We start from the raw sequence: 19,488 nt of genomic DNA, 5'->3' as shown, positions 1-19,488 counted from the left end.
CAATCATGAAAAAAACTCAACATTACTGATCATTAGAGAAATGCAAATCAAAACCACAATGAGATACCATCTCACAACAGTGTATTATTAAAAAATAACAGCTATTGGCAAGGTTGTGGAGAAAAAGGAATGCTTATACACTGTTAGTGGTGATTGGTCCTCAAAAACCTAAAAACAGAACTACAATCAACTCAGCAATCCCATTACTGGGTATATACCCAAAGAAATATAAATTGTTCCATCATAAAGACACATGCACACATATGTTCATTGCAGCACTATTCACGTTAGCAAAGACATTGGAATCAACCTAAACGCCCATCAATCATAGACTGGCTAAAGAAAATGTGATACCTATACACCATGGAAAACTATGCAGCCGTAAAAAAGAGCAAGATCATGTCCTTTGCAGGAACTTGGATGGAGCCAGAGGCTATTATCCTTAGCAAGCTAACACAGGAACAGGAAACCAAATACCGCATGTTGTCACTTATAAGTGGGAGCTAAATTATGACAATACCTGGACACATAGAGAGGAACAAAAGATACTGGGGCCTATTGGAGGGTGAAGGGTGGGAAAAGGGAGAGGATCAAGAAAAATAACTAACAGGTACTGGGCTTAATACCTGGGTAATAAAATAATCTGTTCAACAAACCCCCATGACACAAGTTTACCTATATAAAAAAACTGCCTATGTACCCCTGAACTTAAAGAAAAAAAAAGGCGGCAAAGGACATGAACAGACACTTCTCAAAAGAAGACATGAAAGCAGTCAACAAGTATATGAAAACATGCTCCACATCACTAATCCTCAGAGAAATGCAAATCAAAATCACAATGAGGTACCATCTCATACCAGTCAAAATGTCTGTTATTAAAAATTCAGAAAACAATAGATGTTGGCAAGGCTGCAGAGAAAAGAGAACGCTTATACACTATTTGTGGGAATGCCCATCAGTTCAGCCACTGTGGAAAGCAGTTTGGTGATTTCTCAAAGAAGTTAAAATAGAACTATTATTTGACCCAGCAATTCTACTGCTGGGTATATATACCCAAAGGAAAATAAATCCTTCTACCAAAAAGACACATGTACTCATATCTTCATTGCAACACTATTTACAATAGCAAAGACATGGAATTAACCTAGGTGCCCATCAACAGTGGATTGGATGAAGAAAATGTGGTACATATACACCAAGGAATACTATGCTACCATAAATAAGAACAAAATCATGTCCTTTGCAGCAACGTGGATGCAGCTAGAGGCCATTATCCTAAGCGAATTAATGCAGATACCACATGTTTTCACTTATAAGTGGGAACTAATCATTGGGTACATGTGGACATAAAGATGGGAATGATAGACACTGGGGGACTGAAAGAGGGGTAGGAAGAGAGGGACAAGGATAGAAAAACTACTTATTGGGTACTGTGCTCACTGCCTCTGTGATGGGTTCAATTGTACCCCAAACCTCAGCATCATGCAATATAGCCTTGTAAGAAACCTGCACATGTACCCTTGACTCTAAAAGTTGAAAAACTAAAATAAAATAGATTATTGTTTTATCTAAAGCTGTCTTTCCTTCCCCTGGGCTCAACTATTCACCCAGGAGTTGGGGTTACCAACAAATTAATACTTTAATTCTCAAAATGCCTATTGCCTTCCAAGAACTAAAGTTTTGTTCCTAACTTAAGCTCATTGTACCAGACATTCCTAAGGTGGGTTCTTAGTACCATTGCAAGACTGCTGACCAGCCACCCCAGTGGTCTGCCAGGTATGTCTGAACTCCAGCTGAGAGTGGAAATTTATCACTCAACCTGTGCTTCCCTCTAAAGATTTGTCATTAATAATACTAGTCAGTATTTTCATTTCCAATTTCCTTTGGCCACGGGATTAAATCACCAATTTCACTTTATATGTAATATTAAATTTGCTTAAAGCCCATAAAAGCAATTATGTTTTTTTCAACACCTTGGCTACATTTTTGAAACAAATTTTATAGGAATTTAAAACACTTATACACACCACACATTTTAAAACCATGATAGTCAGACTTGCAAATAACAGATTTATGAAAAAAAAATGAATTACCCCTTTATTGCTGCCAAGAACTTAGCTCATCTCTTTGGGTTTTTAAAAAATGCTTTTTCGATGACAATGAAATCTTTGAAACACAAAGTACACTTTCTAAATTCACTGCAAGCATTTGAAATAAACAAATAATTTGGTTTATTTGATCTGGCACTATGAAAATTATCATAAAATGAATGGTAATTTGACCTGTAAAAGGTTGGGGCTACATATCTCAGGGTTTGGAGTTTTAAGACTGATGTGACTGTAAAACTCCATTATCACTCACATGAGCCCATCAAACTTTAAGTTGCAAAGCAGAAGGGATCTTGCTCTCTCTGATTAGTAAGTTTTCTGCTCTGCAATTCTTTGTCTTACATCCCCTACCAGACAGCCTGAGGAGTCATCATGGGGTTTCTTTTTTCATTACTTATAGTTTTTCTCCTCTTTAGATCTTCATTGCCTTGCAGTACACTAATCCTTATTTTCCCATGTTTCTACTTCTATAAAATACATTGAATGGTCATCCATGCAATGATGATGATGATAATTACAATAACATTAATAATAGCTACAATGGCTAAAATTTACTGCATGCATTTCTGATGCCAGGTACTGTATTAAGCCATTTATACCGATTATATCATTCAATGCCCACGAGAACCTCATAAAAGAAGTCCTATTATTATCCCATTTTACCAGTTAGTAGTATTTTAGGTAACAGAAACCTACAGATGTAAACGACTTGATGATGAGGAAGAAGAGAAGGAGAAAGAGGAGCAACAACAACTCCTCCTTGGCACACATGCCTGCAAAGTCCATGAGCATACCAGACTTCCCAGATGGTTGATTCAGGGCTCAATGGTGTCCCAAAAGTCAATTCTCAGCTCTGCTTCCTCAGGATGGGTTTTACTTTTGCGATTGGTGTAGGCCTCTACAGCTTCCAGCTCACATCATCATGAATACCAATTAAGAAAAAGAAAGTTCACATCCAGCCTCTTTTTTTCTCTTTGATCTGACACAGGCCACATGAACATTTCTGAACCAATCCATCATTATTTCCAGGGGATACTGTACTTCAGTTGGTCAGGCTTAGGTCATGAGCCACCCTCAAAGCAGGGAATGGGAGTCGGCTGCAGCAAAGCCACATAGATTGGGAGTAGAGGAGGAGTAGATCCCCAAAAGAAACCCAGGACTGTTGCCAACAATAGGTGAATGAATAGTGGGAAATGAAAGAACACAAATGTCCACTATATCATTTTGTAAGTGAGCAAGCTGAAGCTTAGAGGAGTTAAAAGCAAGATTCAAACCCTGACCATTTCACTGTAAAGTCTACTTTCACAGTGTAATCTTAGCACCGCCAAATACACTATTGTATTTTTATTTTCCCAGCCTGTTTCCTCATATGTACATATAGATGTTTAGACAATGACATGAGATAATGCCAAAACATAGTCAGCTTTCAATAAATATCAGCTAAGGTGGTGATGAGGATAATCATACTTGCCTTCCTATATTTGAATCCCTTTATTGCCAGGGAACTCACTCACTGTTTCCTGTGACAACCCACTTTATCTCTGGACAAAATTGAGTACTAGACATTTCTTCCTTTTGTTGAATTAGAGGTTCTCCCCTTGTGGCCTCCCACTTTTGACTAAGGCCCTTTTCTTGGGCCTAATAAACCCTCGTTCCTCTTTCACATGACAAACTTTCAAAAACTAGCTCCGACTTTCATATCTCACCACTCCTTCCCTTTGCACTTCCCTCTTTTCCTCCTCAGGCATAACATTCATAGTTTCCCTCTCAGCTTGCTCACTCAGCAGATGATGACTTGTTTCTGCATCCATTTGCAAGATGTACCCAGACCCCCGCTCTGCTTGGCTGCCCTCCCCTGCATGTGCTCTGATTTGCTTGCTTATGAGGACTAAAATGGATTTATCCTCCCTATTAATACTGTATTTTCCTTAATGTAACCTAAAATCAAATTCAGTTTTTTGTCAATCACACAATCACATCTTTGATTTCTCTTGACTTATATTTGAAATCTCCAAATTTTTAAATATAAATTGTCTTAGTATATTCAGCAATTTCTGCCATACTCTGTGTTTAGCAGGCTTTTTGTCTTATGCAAGTACTTACTTTTAATTCTTTACACTTTTCTTTCATGAGATTCACCCATTGCTTTGGCATGCAAAGATCTTGTTAGATGTTTTTTTATCTCAGTGTATCTGCAGCTCTTCCAAGGTTCTTGTCACCCATAAATTTTATGAGCAGAGCCACTCTGGTCTTCATTTTAAAACACTGATTAAAAAGTTGATGAGATAGGGCCAGGAGACTCTTGTGCTGTGGCAGGGGTGTTTGCCTCTTAGACTTGTTTGCTATTATTTCCTTGATCATATTTTTAACAATTGTATTATATGCATCCATTTGCATCCTGTGCCTGATTTCAAACCAAATGCTCTTTTATGCTTATGAGTGAATCATGAGAGACTTTGTCCAAGGGCTATGTATTTATCCCTGAAGGCAAATATTTCAATAGTTCTAAGCCAATTTTTGCTACCTCTTATTATTAATGGTTATATATAAGTAATGTTTAGTTTTACATTAAGTTTAAGTACACATTTATTTTATTCAAGTTGTTTAGAGTTATTTTGTCTGTTTTGTATTCTCTGAATTCTCCCAGTAAGTGGTAATTGTAAAAGGTCTTACTTCTTACTTCTTGGAGGAAGGATTAAAGGTATAATTGGAATGTTATCTTGATTCATACTTAAAAGTTAAGGGGATAGAAAACTTGAATATCTCTATACCAAATAAGACAATTCTGTCAGTATTTTAAAATCAACTCACACACAAAAAAATTAAAAAACATACCAATTTAGTTTTACAGGAAAATTATAACAAATATACAAAGAACAGATCATTACAATCTCTTTAAAACTTTCCCAGATAACTGAAACAGAAAAACATTCTCCACCTTATTCTACAGGGCTAGTATAGCCAGGATATCAATACCATGATATCAATACCAGACAAGGACAGTATGAGAAATAAAAATACAGGTCCATCTTAATTATGAACATAGATGCATAAATCATAAATAAAAATTTTAGCAAAATGACTCTAGCAGTGCTTAAAGTAAATAATAGTTAACATTTGCTGAGTGCTTACTATATACCAGGTACTGGCCTTTTAACCTATGTAATTCTCTCCCAATATCTTATGAGGGAAAAACTAATGTTAAGCCCACTTTATAAATGCGTAATGACCTAGTTGAGTTTCTCCCACAAATGCAGGACGGCTTAATATTCGATATAATTCCACACTGCAAAAGACTAAAGAGGAAAAACATCATGTGATTAGTAAAAAGTATCTCATAAAATTCAGTACCTCTTTGCTCATGAAAACAAAATTCAAACTAGTAATTTTGGACAAATTTCTTAACATGATTAGAGGAGATATATAGATAGATAATGATAGAGCACTATATATATAAATATATATATATATTTCACTATATACATATAGTGGAACAGTAGAAGCATTCATTTAAAGTCAGGAATGAGATGAGGATACCAATATATCTACTTCTATTTACTGTGGCACAGAAGCCCTAGCCTAGACAAGAAAAATAAATGAAAGTTATAACAGAAAGGAAGGGTCAAAACAATCATTATCTCTAGAAAAATGTGATAATTGTCTACAATAGAACATTTAAATATTCTGGCTGGGTGTGGTGGCTTGCACCTGCAATCCCAGAACTTTGGGAGGCCAAGGTGAGAGGATCGCTTGAGCTCAGGAGTTCAAGACCAGCCTCGGGAACATAGCAAGACCTCGTCCCTACTAAAAATCAAAGAATTTATCTGGGCTTGGTGGTGTGCACCTGTAGTCTCAGCTACTCTGGAGGCTGAAGTGGGAAAATAGCTTGAGCCCAGGAGGTTGAAGCTGCAGCAAGCTGTAATTGTGCCACTGCACTCCAGCATGGGTGACAGAACAAGCCCCTGTCTCAAAAAAAAAAAAAAAAAAAAAAAAAGTAAATATTCTCCAGTCAATTTTAAGACAAAATAAGACAAATTTCAGTAAAGTGCTGGAAGTGAGATCAATTTAGAGAAACTAGTTTTTTTCTTACATACTAGTCATAATAAATTGAAAATATAATATTAAAAATATTATTTAAAGTAGAAAAATATACAATACCCACAGGAAATGTAGCTTTTGAGAATAAAATTATAAAAGTGTATTGAAAGCAATTAAATAAGAAAATGGAGAAATACACCGTGTTCACTGATGGGAGAGTTTGATGTGGCAAAGATGTAAATTTTCAATAAATTTAGTGAAATTTTGATAAAATAGCAACAGAGGTTTCCATGAAAGATGACAAGCTGATTTTTAAATTTACAAGATAAAGTGAAACAGATAGCCAAGACAGTTTCACAGAAGGAGAAGAAAATGGGAGTTGTTGGGGGAGAGGAAGAGGCAGTAATTTCCGTACCAGATATCAATATATTATAAAATCATAATAATCAAGACAGTGTAGCACTAGTGTAAGATAGGTAAATAACCCATGAATAGAACAGAGAAGCAAGAAACAAATCTGTGCATATATGGAAACTGTGTATATGCTAGGGGAATATTGACAATAGAGAAGGACAGACTATTCAATAAATGGTTTTGAGACAATTGTCCACATCACAGCATGCATAAATTAATAGCAGATGGAATAAGACCTAAATACATAAAACAAATCTAAGTCTCTTCTTTAGTAAAATTTTAAAAATCTCTCAGCAAACAAGCAATAAAAGGGAACATCCTTATTCTGATAAAAGGTATCTATTAATACTAAACAACTAAACTAAAATTATACTTATTAGGGAAATATTAATGTTTCCCCTTGAATTAAAAAATAAGATAAGGATGTCACTTGGTGTATTAGTCCATTTTCATGCTGCTGATAAAGATGTACCTGAGACTGGGCAATTTCCAAAAGAAAGATGTTTATTGGACTCACAGTTCCACGTGGCTAGGGAGGCCTCACAATCATGGTGGAAGGTGAAAGGCACTTCTTACATGGTGGTGGCAAGAGAGTATGAGGAGGTAGTGAAAGCTGAAACCCCTTATAAAACCATCACATCTCATGAGACTTATTTACTACCATGAGAATAGTATGGGGGAAACCACCCTCATGATTCAAGTATCTCCCACTGGGTCCCTCCCACAACATGTGGGAATTATGGGAGTACAATTCAAGATGAGATTTGGGTGGGGACACAGAGCCAAACCATATCACTTGGGCAATGAATTTGTTTTCTGCTTAAATTATATCAGGGGTAAAATGTGATGTTTTGTAACATCAGAACCTTTTTAGAAAAGAAAGTTGTTTTCCAGTGCTCCCGAATAAGTCTCCAAACTTGTTCTTTGCCATATGAAAATGGTCTGTAATGCCTTTTCAGTACTGATAAATAAAAGCACAACCAATGCTTAGTGCAGCACAAGTTAGCATATCTTTCACTCAAGAAGCTGAAAATATTATTGAAGACCCTACAACTGCAGTGGATTATCTGAGGGTTTATAGGGAAGCCCTTTTAAAATTTTGATGTGAAACTCCATAATGCAATGAACACCATTGCTATTTAATCTAAAAGTAGTAATGTCCCTTTTTCTGCATTTCTGAATCAGTGATCATAATAAAGAAATATGCCTCACCATCAATATGCCTTTTACATGCTCCTCTGGCACAAGTCACAAAACGACTTCAAATGATTGGAAACTTAAGTAGAAAGTCTTTGGGAAGAAAATGTAACATCTCATCAAGAGTCCAAATTCCTTTTTTACTTGCTGGCAATGACCTGGAAAATACTGTCTAGTTAATTATGATAAATTCAGCTCATTTTTTCTCTGTGTGAGACAAATTTCAAACCATTGCTTGGTGAGCAGTCTCAGAAAAATGGAGATAGAAAATTGTCCCCCCCCCATTTAATATGACAGTTATAATATATGTGATATAGGATGTATGAGACTTAAATAGATAAAATATCTATGTTTTGTACAATTCTGGGCCCATAGTTCATCAATGGTTACCATGATTTCTATCATCATCATCATCATCATCATCATCGTTCTGGTTGTTTTTGTCATCACCAATTGAGTATCTGCTGTGTACCAGGTCCATATTAAAAGACTGGAGGCAGGCTAGGCGCTGTGGCTCATGCCTGTAATTCCAGCACTTTGGGAGGCTGAGATGGGCAGATCACTTGTTGTCAGGAGTTCAAGACCAGGCTGGCCAACATGGTAAAACCCCATCTCTACTAAAAATACAAAAATTAGCCAGGCGTGGTGGCACACACCTGTAGTCCCAGCTACTCAGGAGGCTGAGGCAGAAGAATCACTTGAACCTGGGAGGCAGAGGTTGCAGTGAGCCGAGATCATGCCACTCCACTCCAGCCTGGGAGACAGAGTGAGACTCCATTTCAAAAAAAAAAAAAAAAAAGATTGGAAGCAGAACCATATCCACTCATGGAGTTTCATAATCTCTAGGGAAATGCTTAACCATTAAAAATTCATGATACAATTATTCTTAAAGGAAGTGGTTTTTAAGTTCACCATAAAACAAGTTGTTGGGAAAGAATTTATTAATCAAATATTCTAGGAAACAAGCTACTAAGCAATCTTATTAAGAATATTCAACCTGAATATTTATACCCATAGAAAACTATTAAATGTAAAGTTATGAAAAGACAATGCACATATGGATCAAGGAATAGAGACGTCTTAAAACAGGAAAAGACTTCTAAATTGTTAACCAAATCTTGGATCTGATCTAACTCAGAGTTTGCACCTTCTTGACTTCACCAGTAGATGCTGCTGTGAAGTAGAACAAGGCCTGCATAGATTTGGACATTTGTGTGCTGAACTCTGAAAATGACTTACCCACAATGGAAAAGAATCCTTACATTCATTTATTTGTTCGTATTTTTGTTTGCTTGCTTATTTAGTTTCAATCCACTGAAAACAACTTGGAAAAACATTTTTTAAGATAACTATCTTATTTTCAATATAACTTCATGGTTTATAAAACACTTTTTTGAAAATTATCTGCTTACTAATCTTTCAACAAGGTAGGCAAGTCTTGTTATCCCTAAGTTCCTGACTAATTTGAGACTCATAGAGATTACTTGACAGGCCTGATTTCTTAGAGTTATTAAGTTAGTAGGTGATGGTGCCAGGATTTGAATACTGGATTTCTGACCCCAAACCCAGCAAACTTTTCTGCTACACTCCAGATTTATAAAACTTGATGCAAGGATCAACGATAGGAGTGTTCATGTTCACTGAATCCAAGAATACATCAATGAACATATACAATTACCTTAACCAAGACTTTAACCTTAGGAGTGCATTTCTTAAGTGGCTGAAAGACAATGCTGGAAACATTTGGCCTTAGTAAAACTCAGGGAAGAGATTTCTAATCTAAGATTTGACAGGAAATGAAATAAAAATCAATTATAATTTCTTGTTTGTTTGCAAATCTAATTCTTTGTTAAAGTGAAGTCAATCAAGTAATTGTAAATAGAAAGCTCTACAATTCTACACTATATGCTTGGTAGTAGAATGTTCTGAATATATTTTAAAGGTGTTAATACTTATAAGCCAATTTATATTGTAATAGACAAGGAAAATAATATCAACTGTGTTTAGTTCATATATTATCTCTGCCAAAAAATTAGCTCTGCTGGAGATATATACATACATACTAGAGTGAAAAACTGTTCCAGTTTGCGTGGGACTGAGGGCTTCCCAGGACATGGAACTTTCAGTGCTAAAGATGGGACAGTCTTAGGCAAACCAGGACAGTTGTTCACTCTACACACACAAATAATATTATTTATATGTATATATATATATTACATATTTATTACACATACATCTTTCCTCCTAATAGCTTGAGTCATCTTGCACAATTACTTTACTATGCTGTAATATGGTGATGTCGCAATAAGTATTTGGTAAATGAAAATGTGTGACAATGTGCTAACATAAGCCAGCATGCTGATACTTCTCTTTAGATATTTTATCTCAGTTTTGCACATTTCTTATTTCCTCCTTTTGCTAACACCTATATATTCTCAAAGTCATTAAATGTTATTGCTTAGTTGTTGTTGTTTTTTTAAGTCAGATATCCAACTTCCTGAGAATTTGTAAAATGCATTTTCCAAGTTTAGGTTATGGGTGTTTTAGGGAGAATAAAGTGCGTAGTTGTTTTTGTTGCTGTTGTTGTTGTTTTGTTTTGCTTTTTTGAGATGAAGTCTCGCTCTGTTGCCAGGCTGCAGTGCAGTGGTGCGATCTTGGCTCACTGCAATCTCCGCCTCCCGGGTTCAAGAGATTCTCCTGCCTCACCCTCCTGAGTAGCTGGGATTACAGGCGCACGCCACTACACCCAGCTAATTTATGTATTTACTTATTTTGAGACAGAGTCTCACTCTGTTGCCAGGCTGGAGTGCAGTGCCATGATCTGGGCTCACTGCAACCTCCATCTCCCAGGTTCGAGAGATTCTCCTGCCTCAGCCTCCCGAGTAGCTGGGACTGCAGGTGCGTACCACCATGCCTGGCTCATTTTTTGTATTTTTAGTAGAAACGGGTTTCACCATGTTGGCCAGGATGGTCTCGATCTCCTGAGCTTCTGATCTGCCTGGCTCAGACTCCCAAAGTGCTGGGATTACAGGCTTGAGCCACCCCGCCTGGCTGTAGTTTTTTAAATTAAAATAAAAATTACTGGATCAAAATTAGATTGAGTGATCAACCAACTAAAAGATTAAACACGACAAAAGTATATTTTTCTCTCACGTAAAAGAAGTCCGTGGGCAGGCAGCTCAGGGCTGGCTAGATGGCTTCACAATGACCAGGAACCCATGCTTCTTCTGTATTGTTGCATGGGGTCTCCTGGTCTAAGATGGTTGCTGAAATTCCAGCCCATTACCATATTCCAATCAGACAGAAGGAGGAAAAGAATCACATATAATATTTCAGCGTTGGTCAGAACATAGTTATATGGCTGCATCAAGCTGCAAGTAATGTTGAAAAATATAGAATTTACTCTGAGTGGTCACATGTTCCACTAAAGCTAGGATTCTGTCATTTAGAGAAAGAGAGAAAATGAATATCTGGGAACAATTAGAAGTCCCTAGAACTCCTAGCTAGACTTACTGCTCTAACAGATGAAATTTCTACTTTTTTAACCCAAGTATTATTTTATTTTCTTCTATTTGTTTGTTCTTCACCCTAAACATGTAATTACTTAAAAAAATTAAAAGTTTTCTTATATTAAATTCTGTCAGCATATGAGTTTGCATTTATCTCGGCCTGCAACATCTGGCATCACTTAAACATGTATAATTCGTGTTGCAGCATGTAAAGGAATTTAAATCATGCCTAATTTTCTGCTTAAGTTTTGGGTCTAGTTTTCCTTCTTCCAGCTGGGAGTTCAAGTCATATAGACAATGGCTAGACAGGGACTTTGCATGTGCCCAGTGTGCCTAGAGCCTTGAATTATGTGATCTCCAAGAGTCTGAGACTGGCCTATCAGCCCCTAACTACAAGTGATTTTCTTAGAGGCTTAGCCTCGTTTGTGGGTTTCACAAGTGGAATGAAGCTATACTTATATGATGAACATACTCAAAAATTATTAGATTCATGGAATTTTATTGCTGAAAGGCACTGAGTCCAATCACCTCCTTTTACTGAGAAGAAGCAGAGGAGTTATGTAACTTGTCTGACACCTAGCTAGTTAGTTACAAAATTACTCCTGGTCCTATTCTCCAAACCTCATGAAGAGGAAATGTCCTGTGGTTGTCCATGCCCTATCTTTCAGAGGACATATCATCACTGTGGGCCCACAACATTTCAGAATCAGCTTTGTGAGGCCCTTCTATCAGCCCTCACATAGAATCTACAGGAGAATACTAGTGTGGTGGGGAAAAGTTACCTCCCCATCCACAGTGTGAAGGGGCTTGACCTCTCCCTTCTGAGTAAGGAAGAGAATGGGGTGTGCTTTCAGGGCAGGAGTTCTTTTCCAGATTCTTAGGTCTCCCAAATAACATTCCTAAGCCATGTCTTGCAGCATCATGTGTATCTGAGGAACTGTGATAATTCATGTTTGGTGTTTGTTTTTATGTTACACAGTACAGAAAGTTGTATAAGCTCCTAGAATTGTCAAATGGGAAGAGTCCTAGAGATTCTTATTTCATCAATTCCTTGATTTCTCAGCTGAGAAAACTAAAACCCACAGAGATGAATTGACTTGGCAGAGATAATATTTCTTGCTTATGATTTATAGGAAGCCAAACTTAAAACAAGTCTATAGTTGCTCATTCCTAACAATATTAACCATGCTGTTTACATAATAGTATCTGAAAACTAATTGCCTACTTTAAATGAAAAGAGAAAAGTACGAGTTTGCTCCAAAACATCTCTTAAATTTATAATTAAATGACGTGAGCTAGTTTTATAAAATATTTTATTTACAGTAGAGCTTTACAAAAATAGTCTTAAATTAATACAAATCCCTTTTGCAATATAACTTATATGACTATCTTCTCAAAAACGTGACATTCGATTATAACACATAAACTACATTTATAGTTGTTAAGTCACCTTGTAGTATAAATATGTTTTCATCTTTTTTTTGTAATAAGGTACATACCAATAACAATGAACAATGGACAACAAATCTTATTTTGTTATTCTTCCAATGTAAAATTCATCTCTGGCCAAAACAAAATTAACCAAAGAAAAGTAAAACAATTGTCCCTCTGTTCAACAATACAGTCCTTTTTAATTATTTGAGAGTTTATCTGACAGAGACACAGCATTAAACTGAAAGCACCATGGCATAAAGTCTAGTAACATTATCCTCAAAAGCTTTTTCCAATGTCTTTCCTTCAACTGTTTATTCAGTATTTGGCCAGTACAAATAAAGATTGGTCTCAACTCTCTCTTTCATTAGTCTCAAGTGTTCCTATTATGCACTGAGTTTTCAGACCTTCCCAACTGGCATGTGTTTTAAGTGTGAGTTTCTTTCTTTGGCTTCAAGTGGAGTTTCACAACATTTATGAAACATACTGAGCTCCTCCATGTGGCTGGATCTCTGTGACTCCCCACCCAACAATATTCCCCCGGATGTGACAAGACTCTGCTCCTCCGGTCTCTCTTATCTCTTCATTGCTAAGAACACTATCCCAGATATTGAAGCCTGTGAGTCTCCCAGAGAAGGCTAATGTTTCATCAAAGCCACCACCCACACAGCAGCCATTCTTTTCTTGGCCAATCTGCAGGATTCCTCCCTCAGGAACAATGTGACCTGTGGCCATCTCAACAGTGGTAGCCGCCAGTTCACCATTTACCCACAAGGATGTGAGCCCTTCCTCTGAATTCCAGGTGCCGCACAGGTGGGTCCACCTTCCCAGGGAAACCATGGCTTCAGCAACCAGTTTGTTCTCCTCTCCACCCACCACAAACACTATGGATTGGTAGCTGAGATACAGCTGGATTTCATATGGATTCCTCTTTGTGCCATAGGAAAACAGGATGGTTTTGTTTAATACATCTGTGGCTTTGACCCAAATGCAGGCACTAAAAGACTCAAGCCTCATTGGTCTCACTGGATGCACGCTTCCAAAAATCTTCTTGGAACGCATTGGGAATAAAATAGCTGTTTCACAACCTAGAGTAGCAAGAAAATAAGAAGAATATTAAAGAAAATATAAATTAATTCAGAATTATTCTGGCATTAGTTATTTAACATAAGAATTTTAATTATTACAATTGAAAGCTATGTGAAACCCTACATTACGACTTAAGAAGCTTCCACTGTAATCTCTGCAGAGCAAAGAAAATGAGAAAAAGGAAAGCCAATTGTCTTATCCAATGAAGCATCTAAATGAAGAGAAAGCACGCAAATAGAAGAGCCAACTAGTCCAAACCCACAAAATAATAAAAGCCATAACTACCTCCCCTTCCAATTTGCATATTTTCTTTGTTACTGCTTTTTTTTAAAAAAGTTGAATCACTATCAGTTAACTTCAGACAATAATTCTATAATTTCCAAGAATTCAGAACCCAACCTGGTTCTCTCTTTTTGCCACCACCAAGTTCCTAAAATAATAAACCTGTGAAATTCAGTAGACCTAGTTCGCTCCATTTAGCCTTTACCAACATGCATTTTTCAGCAAAATTCTAGGATAGTGATGTTATTGCAGAATACATTTTTTTTTTTTTTTGAGACAGAGTCTCACTCTGTCACCCAGGCTGGATTGCAGTAGTGCGATCTCGACTCACGGCAACCTTCGCTTCCCAGGTTCAAGCGATTCTCCTGCCTCAGCTTCCGGAGTAGCTGGGACTACAGGTGCACACCACTGCGCCCAGCTAACTATTGTATTTTTTTTTTAGACACGGGGTTTCACCATGTTGGCCAGGTTGGTCTTGAACTCCTGACCTCAAGATCCGCCTGCCTCAGCCTCCCAAAATGCTGGGATTACAGGCATGAGCCACCACACCTGGCCTGCAGAATACATTTTAATACACCAAATGTTCTCAGATATTTGTAAACTTTGCAGAGTTTTTAGAAAACTACCTTTGAAAGGCAACAATGTATAATAATGATGACTAAGCTTATTGGGCATTCACTATGTATCAGATACTGTTCTAATCATTTTGTTTGTCATTTTAATCCTTATGCCAACCATAAGAGATAGTCTTTTACATTCCTATTTTACAGATGAGAAAACTTAGGTAAAAGTAACTTATCTATGTTTACATAGCTGATAAGCAGTAAAACTAGAGTTTGAATTTTTGCAGTCTGGTCACAGAGGCCACGCCCTTAATCAGCACACTACAGTGCCTCTTATTAATAGAACCCCTAGATTTCTCTAGGAGGGCTAGAATCCAGATGGTGTTACTACTAATGAGCCATGCAACTTTGGATGAGCACCATAATTTCCTCTAGGCTTTAGCGTTATCTAAAAAAGGCCCTTCCATTCTGCTCCTAATATTCTGCAAGTCTGTAAGCAGCAAGTATGTAGCACTTAAGAGCTGAATAGACCAAAAATGTGTTTAAAAATTCTACCTTGTCCACATGCTTATAATTACTATTTAAGCAGTAATTGAAAATCTTTAAGAGAAGTACATTCTTTCAAGGGGCCTGGTTGGAGAACATGTTTCTGCTAAAGAGCACTTGGGAGGGGGACTTTCAAATTTGAGGTGGAAAGCTCAGTAAGTTTCCACCATTGTCCATCTCAAGGCGACTTAGCCATTTGGGAAGCTGGAGATGCTGAAACGAAAACCTTTTACGTGTCCCTGGGAAAGAACAGGTGAGCTCTGCATCTATATACATAAATATATATATATGTATGTATACGTATATATACACACATATATACATATGGATATGTATGTATGTATACATACATATATGTATATAAATGTGTGTGTATATATATGTGTGTATGTGTATGTAGGTATTTTTTTAAAAACACCTAAATTAGGGCAGGTATAACAACCTAAAGAAGATATGCCATAAGACAGCTTTGAAAAGCAAACTCCCAGAATGGTTCCAGAATAACTGGTAAAGAGAAAGAACTTGCAGAAACCAAACATCCATGTAAAAGTGTGGTAAACTATGTCAGATTCCTACAAGTGGCTCAGGGGTAGGCTCTATCCTGAAAACATTAAACAAATATGAACCTTATCCTTTAGTGTTAGGGATAGTCAAATAAAATATTGGCATTCAGATAATCATATAAAAGTAACTACAATACTAAAACACAAAACTGGCTCTGTCATGCTTTGATACTTTTTCACTAAATAATTTGAACTTTTGAAGATTTTTTAAAATTAATTTTTAATGAGGCAGTGATTCTATTTTCAAATGAAATTGCTAGGTACATCTTTTCTTCCAGCTGTGTTAATTAAAATCAAATAAAAATCACTGAAAAAAATCACCATATCCATGGGCATTTGATATAGTCTCTATAAAGTTTCAATAAAGTAGTGTTCAATCACACCTGTAATCCCAGCACTTTGGGAGGCTGAGGCGGGTGGATCACAAGGTCAGGAGATCGAGACCATCCTGGCTAACACGGTGAAACCCCGTCTCTACTAAAAATGCAAAAAATTAGCTGGGTAAGGTGGCGAGCACCTGTAGTCCCAGCTACTCAGGAGGCTGAGGCAGGAGAATGGAGTGAACCCGGGAGGCGGAGCTTGCAGTGAGCCGAGATCGCGCCACTGCACTCCAGCCTGGGCGACAGAGCGAGATTCCGTCTCAAAGAAAAAAACAAAAAAGTAGTGTTCAAGAGGGTGCCTACTGCAATCGAATTAAGTGATTTCCTCTTTAAATAAGCCCAGGCAGTCAGGATTGCATTCCAAAGCACTCCTGGATTGCATCTCAGAGACTCAGCTTCCCTCTAGGCTACGCTGGCTATATAAGTTCATGGACTGGAACCGCATGTTGGCTATTTTTGGTGATCCTCTTTTGGGGACCAGGGATACCCAAAAACGAGGCTCTTAATACCTCTTTAAAATGTCAGAAACTCTCTTATGAAATGGCTTTTAACTAATAGGTTTTTCTGATTATCAAAGACCAAACAAAATTAAAACCAGGTTCTTAGGAGGCTAACAACAGAATGGTTAGGAGCCAAGCTGGCTGGAGACCAAGAGAAGATAAATCAAAGCATATGGGTAAAAGTATTATTGGATGTAATAAGGATTAACATCTTAGAATTCAGAAATGCATCCCTCTTCTGCTCTAACTAATATGCAAAGATGAAGATAAAAAATAGAGTAATTCTTCGGTTTTTCAGGTGCATTATATGTACAATGACTTTACGTGGTTTGCGAAACACAAGACATTTCATCCATTAAAATGGCTGCAGAATTCTAATTTCTCTCCTGTCACATTGAGAATCTAGTGTACATTTGATTTTATGCTTTTTCTCCTCTGAAGCCCTATTTAGTATTTACTGACAAGCACCCCTCAAATATTTAGGAAATATGATATGGTTTCTGTAACTTTAAATGAAACATGCTCTCATTACATAAAATTCTTTAACTTTAAATGAAACATGCTTCTTCCCCCTCCCCATCCAGCAAAAGTTGTTTTCTTGGAAATACAGGGAAGGATTCTCAGGAAAAGTGCAAGTTATATTTTCTTACCTAGGACACTGATTTTCTAATACAATCCAAAATGATTGTCACACCACCATTTCTTAGAAGTTTTGGCATACAAAGGAGTATTGATTGGCTCCAAATCTTCTATTTCTTTCTTTTAACCATCTTTAGAATGTATTATTTTGGGAACCCATGTCTGTTTGGAGATTCATGGAGTGTCACATGGGACTTTGAGAAGTTGCCTGTGGTTTGAACAGTCTCTCTCCTGCTTGGCCCCAATTCTCTGAATCCCTGGGGTGGAGCTGGGATCCCCTACACGGATTGGCTCCTACACCTGACTGTTCCACGCTGAATCCCAAACCGCACACCCTCCGACCTCCCCTGTCGCGCTAATTCCACAAACCCCGGGGGCTGGGGGACCCCTGAAGAATTCCGCTGACCCTTCGGGAGATTAGCTTTAGCCTCAAGTTTCTTGCTGAGAATGGGTGGGCGGAGAGGAGGGGCCGGCTGAGGGGCTGGAAAACATCCCTAAACGTTAGCCTGGGCCCTGAAATAGTGCGGGAAACCAGAGCTCCTCTAAAGACAGAGGCAGGATAAAATTAGAAGACGTGGAAATCCCTAACGGAGGGAAGCTGGGCGGCAAGAGGGATCACGGTTATAACGGGCCAGTGGACTCCTGCAGCGCTTAGTCGGATCGGGTGTAAGGGGCCCTAGACGTCTATTTCAAGACTGTGATGGTTACCTCCACAACTCTCTTTAGGGCTCCTTAGGACTGAGGAATACTTTTTTAAAGCCAATTTTCCCGCCTTGTATGGTGTGCCTGAGCTCTGTGACCGCGCATGCAGAAATAGGGGTGTGTGTGTGTGTGTGTGTGTGTGTGTGTGTGTGCGCGCGCGCGCGCGCGCTTCCCATGAAAGCTTCCCCTAGAAGGTTGCCTGGCTTGGCTTGCCGTTACGCGCGCTCCCGGAACAAAGCCGCAGTGGGAGGTCCCGGCCCCGCTTGCCTCCTTACCTGCCGGCAGCCAGCTCCGGGCAGCCCAGCCCTGCACCGCGTGCAGGTCGGCTCGCGTCTGCCGCAGCTCCTCTAGCACCGCGGCCAGGGCGCGCCCCGCCTCCTCTGGGCGCTGCGCCTCCGCGCCCTCCATACGCGCCAGCCTGCGGCCCGCGTCGCGGGTCGCCTGCAGCAGCTCGTCCAGAGCACTGGTCAGCCTGGCCTCTGCGGGAGCCCCCGGCGCGCACGGCCTCGCCAGGCTTTCCGCGAGCCGGCCCAGCTCCTCCCGCAGCCTCTGCAGCTCGCCCCGCAGGACGTCGTCCGTGGCTTGCAGCAGCATGCGCTCTCTCATCTGCGAGTTCTCCAGCATGATGAAGAGCTTGTCCCATTCCGAGTGCTCCTGACCGCAGGCGCACGGCGTGGCTAGAGTACGGGATACACACACGTTAGCAGCCCGCCCAGGCCTGCCTTGGATGTGCTTTGTAAAAGCTGACCTCCCTCGGTGGTGCCAAGTTGCAGCCCGTTCCTGGCATTCCCCTTCCCTTTAAGGACACCTCCGAAAAACAGCATGTAAATGTCTCAGAAACGACAGAAATCATTCATTCAGGTATAGATTAAGTTGTACCCTATGAAATCGCCGGTTATGTAGCTCAAAACAGTCAAATATTGACGATTTGATATGATTCAACCCATTATGTACGTTACAGAAATAACTTTGAAACCTCCATCTTTCTTCAAGTGCTTCTCACTTTTGCATAACAAGCTATAAATTTTTAACTTGTCTCACTGGCCACAAAGTATATGTGTGTTATTTAGACCAAGAGGTGGATATGTAGTCAGGGTTAGCAGAGAAACAGTTAAAGTGAACTTACGGTCCTCAGTGGGATGGAGTCCATTGTCTATTTCGTTGTCCAAATTCACATACATGAGATCATAATCATCCGAGTTCTCGGCCAACACTGCAGACCAGAGAGCACAAAACAGAATCGCAAGGAGATGCATTGCTGGAGAGACGCAAAGTTCTTTCCACAGCTGGCGGGAGGAGACTCTCAAGTGAGCTGAGTTTGAGCGGAGGAGAGTGAGAGTGAGAGGCTGGAGCAGAGAGTCCTTAATAAATGCTGAGGAAAGCCTGAATGGGGATGAATGAGTAATGCTGGTGGCACTGCGGTAACGGGAGTTCCCCTGAATTTGGTGGGGGAGGGGGCTGGGTGGGAGAGCGAGGGAAATGTGGAAGTTGCACAATATTAAACCGCAAAGGTTTACGCTGCAGTCA

General features: G+C 39.0%; 2 protein-coding genes across 19 annotated transcripts in view; one reads left to right on the top strand and one right to left on the bottom strand.

The window, feature by feature from the left end:
- The window catches only part of VEPH1 (ventricular zone expressed PH domain containing 1), a 243,864-nt gene that overhangs the window by 47,455 nt on the left and 176,921 nt on the right, over positions 1-19,488 (top strand). The window lies entirely within an intron of this gene.
- Positions 12,518-19,301, bottom strand: PTX3 (pentraxin 3). The gene is made up of 3 exons (NM_002852.4): positions 19,088-19,301; positions 18,237-18,638; positions 12,518-13,785 (listed from the first exon to the last, which is right to left on the bottom strand). Exons 1-3 carry the CDS (start codon positions 19,215-19,217, stop codon positions 13,172-13,174), a joined length of 1,146 nt encoding a protein of 381 aa, NP_002843.2. The 5' UTR covers positions 19,218-19,301; the 3' UTR covers positions 12,518-13,171.

The sequence above is a fragment of the Homo sapiens genome, chromosome 3 (genome assembly GCF_000001405.40).
Source record: "Homo sapiens chromosome 3, GRCh38.p14 Primary Assembly".
Taxonomy (NCBI): domain Eukaryota; kingdom Metazoa; phylum Chordata; class Mammalia; order Primates; family Hominidae; genus Homo; species Homo sapiens.
Note: the sequence above shows the minus strand (reverse complement) of the source record. Positions and strands in the feature narration are given on the sequence as shown.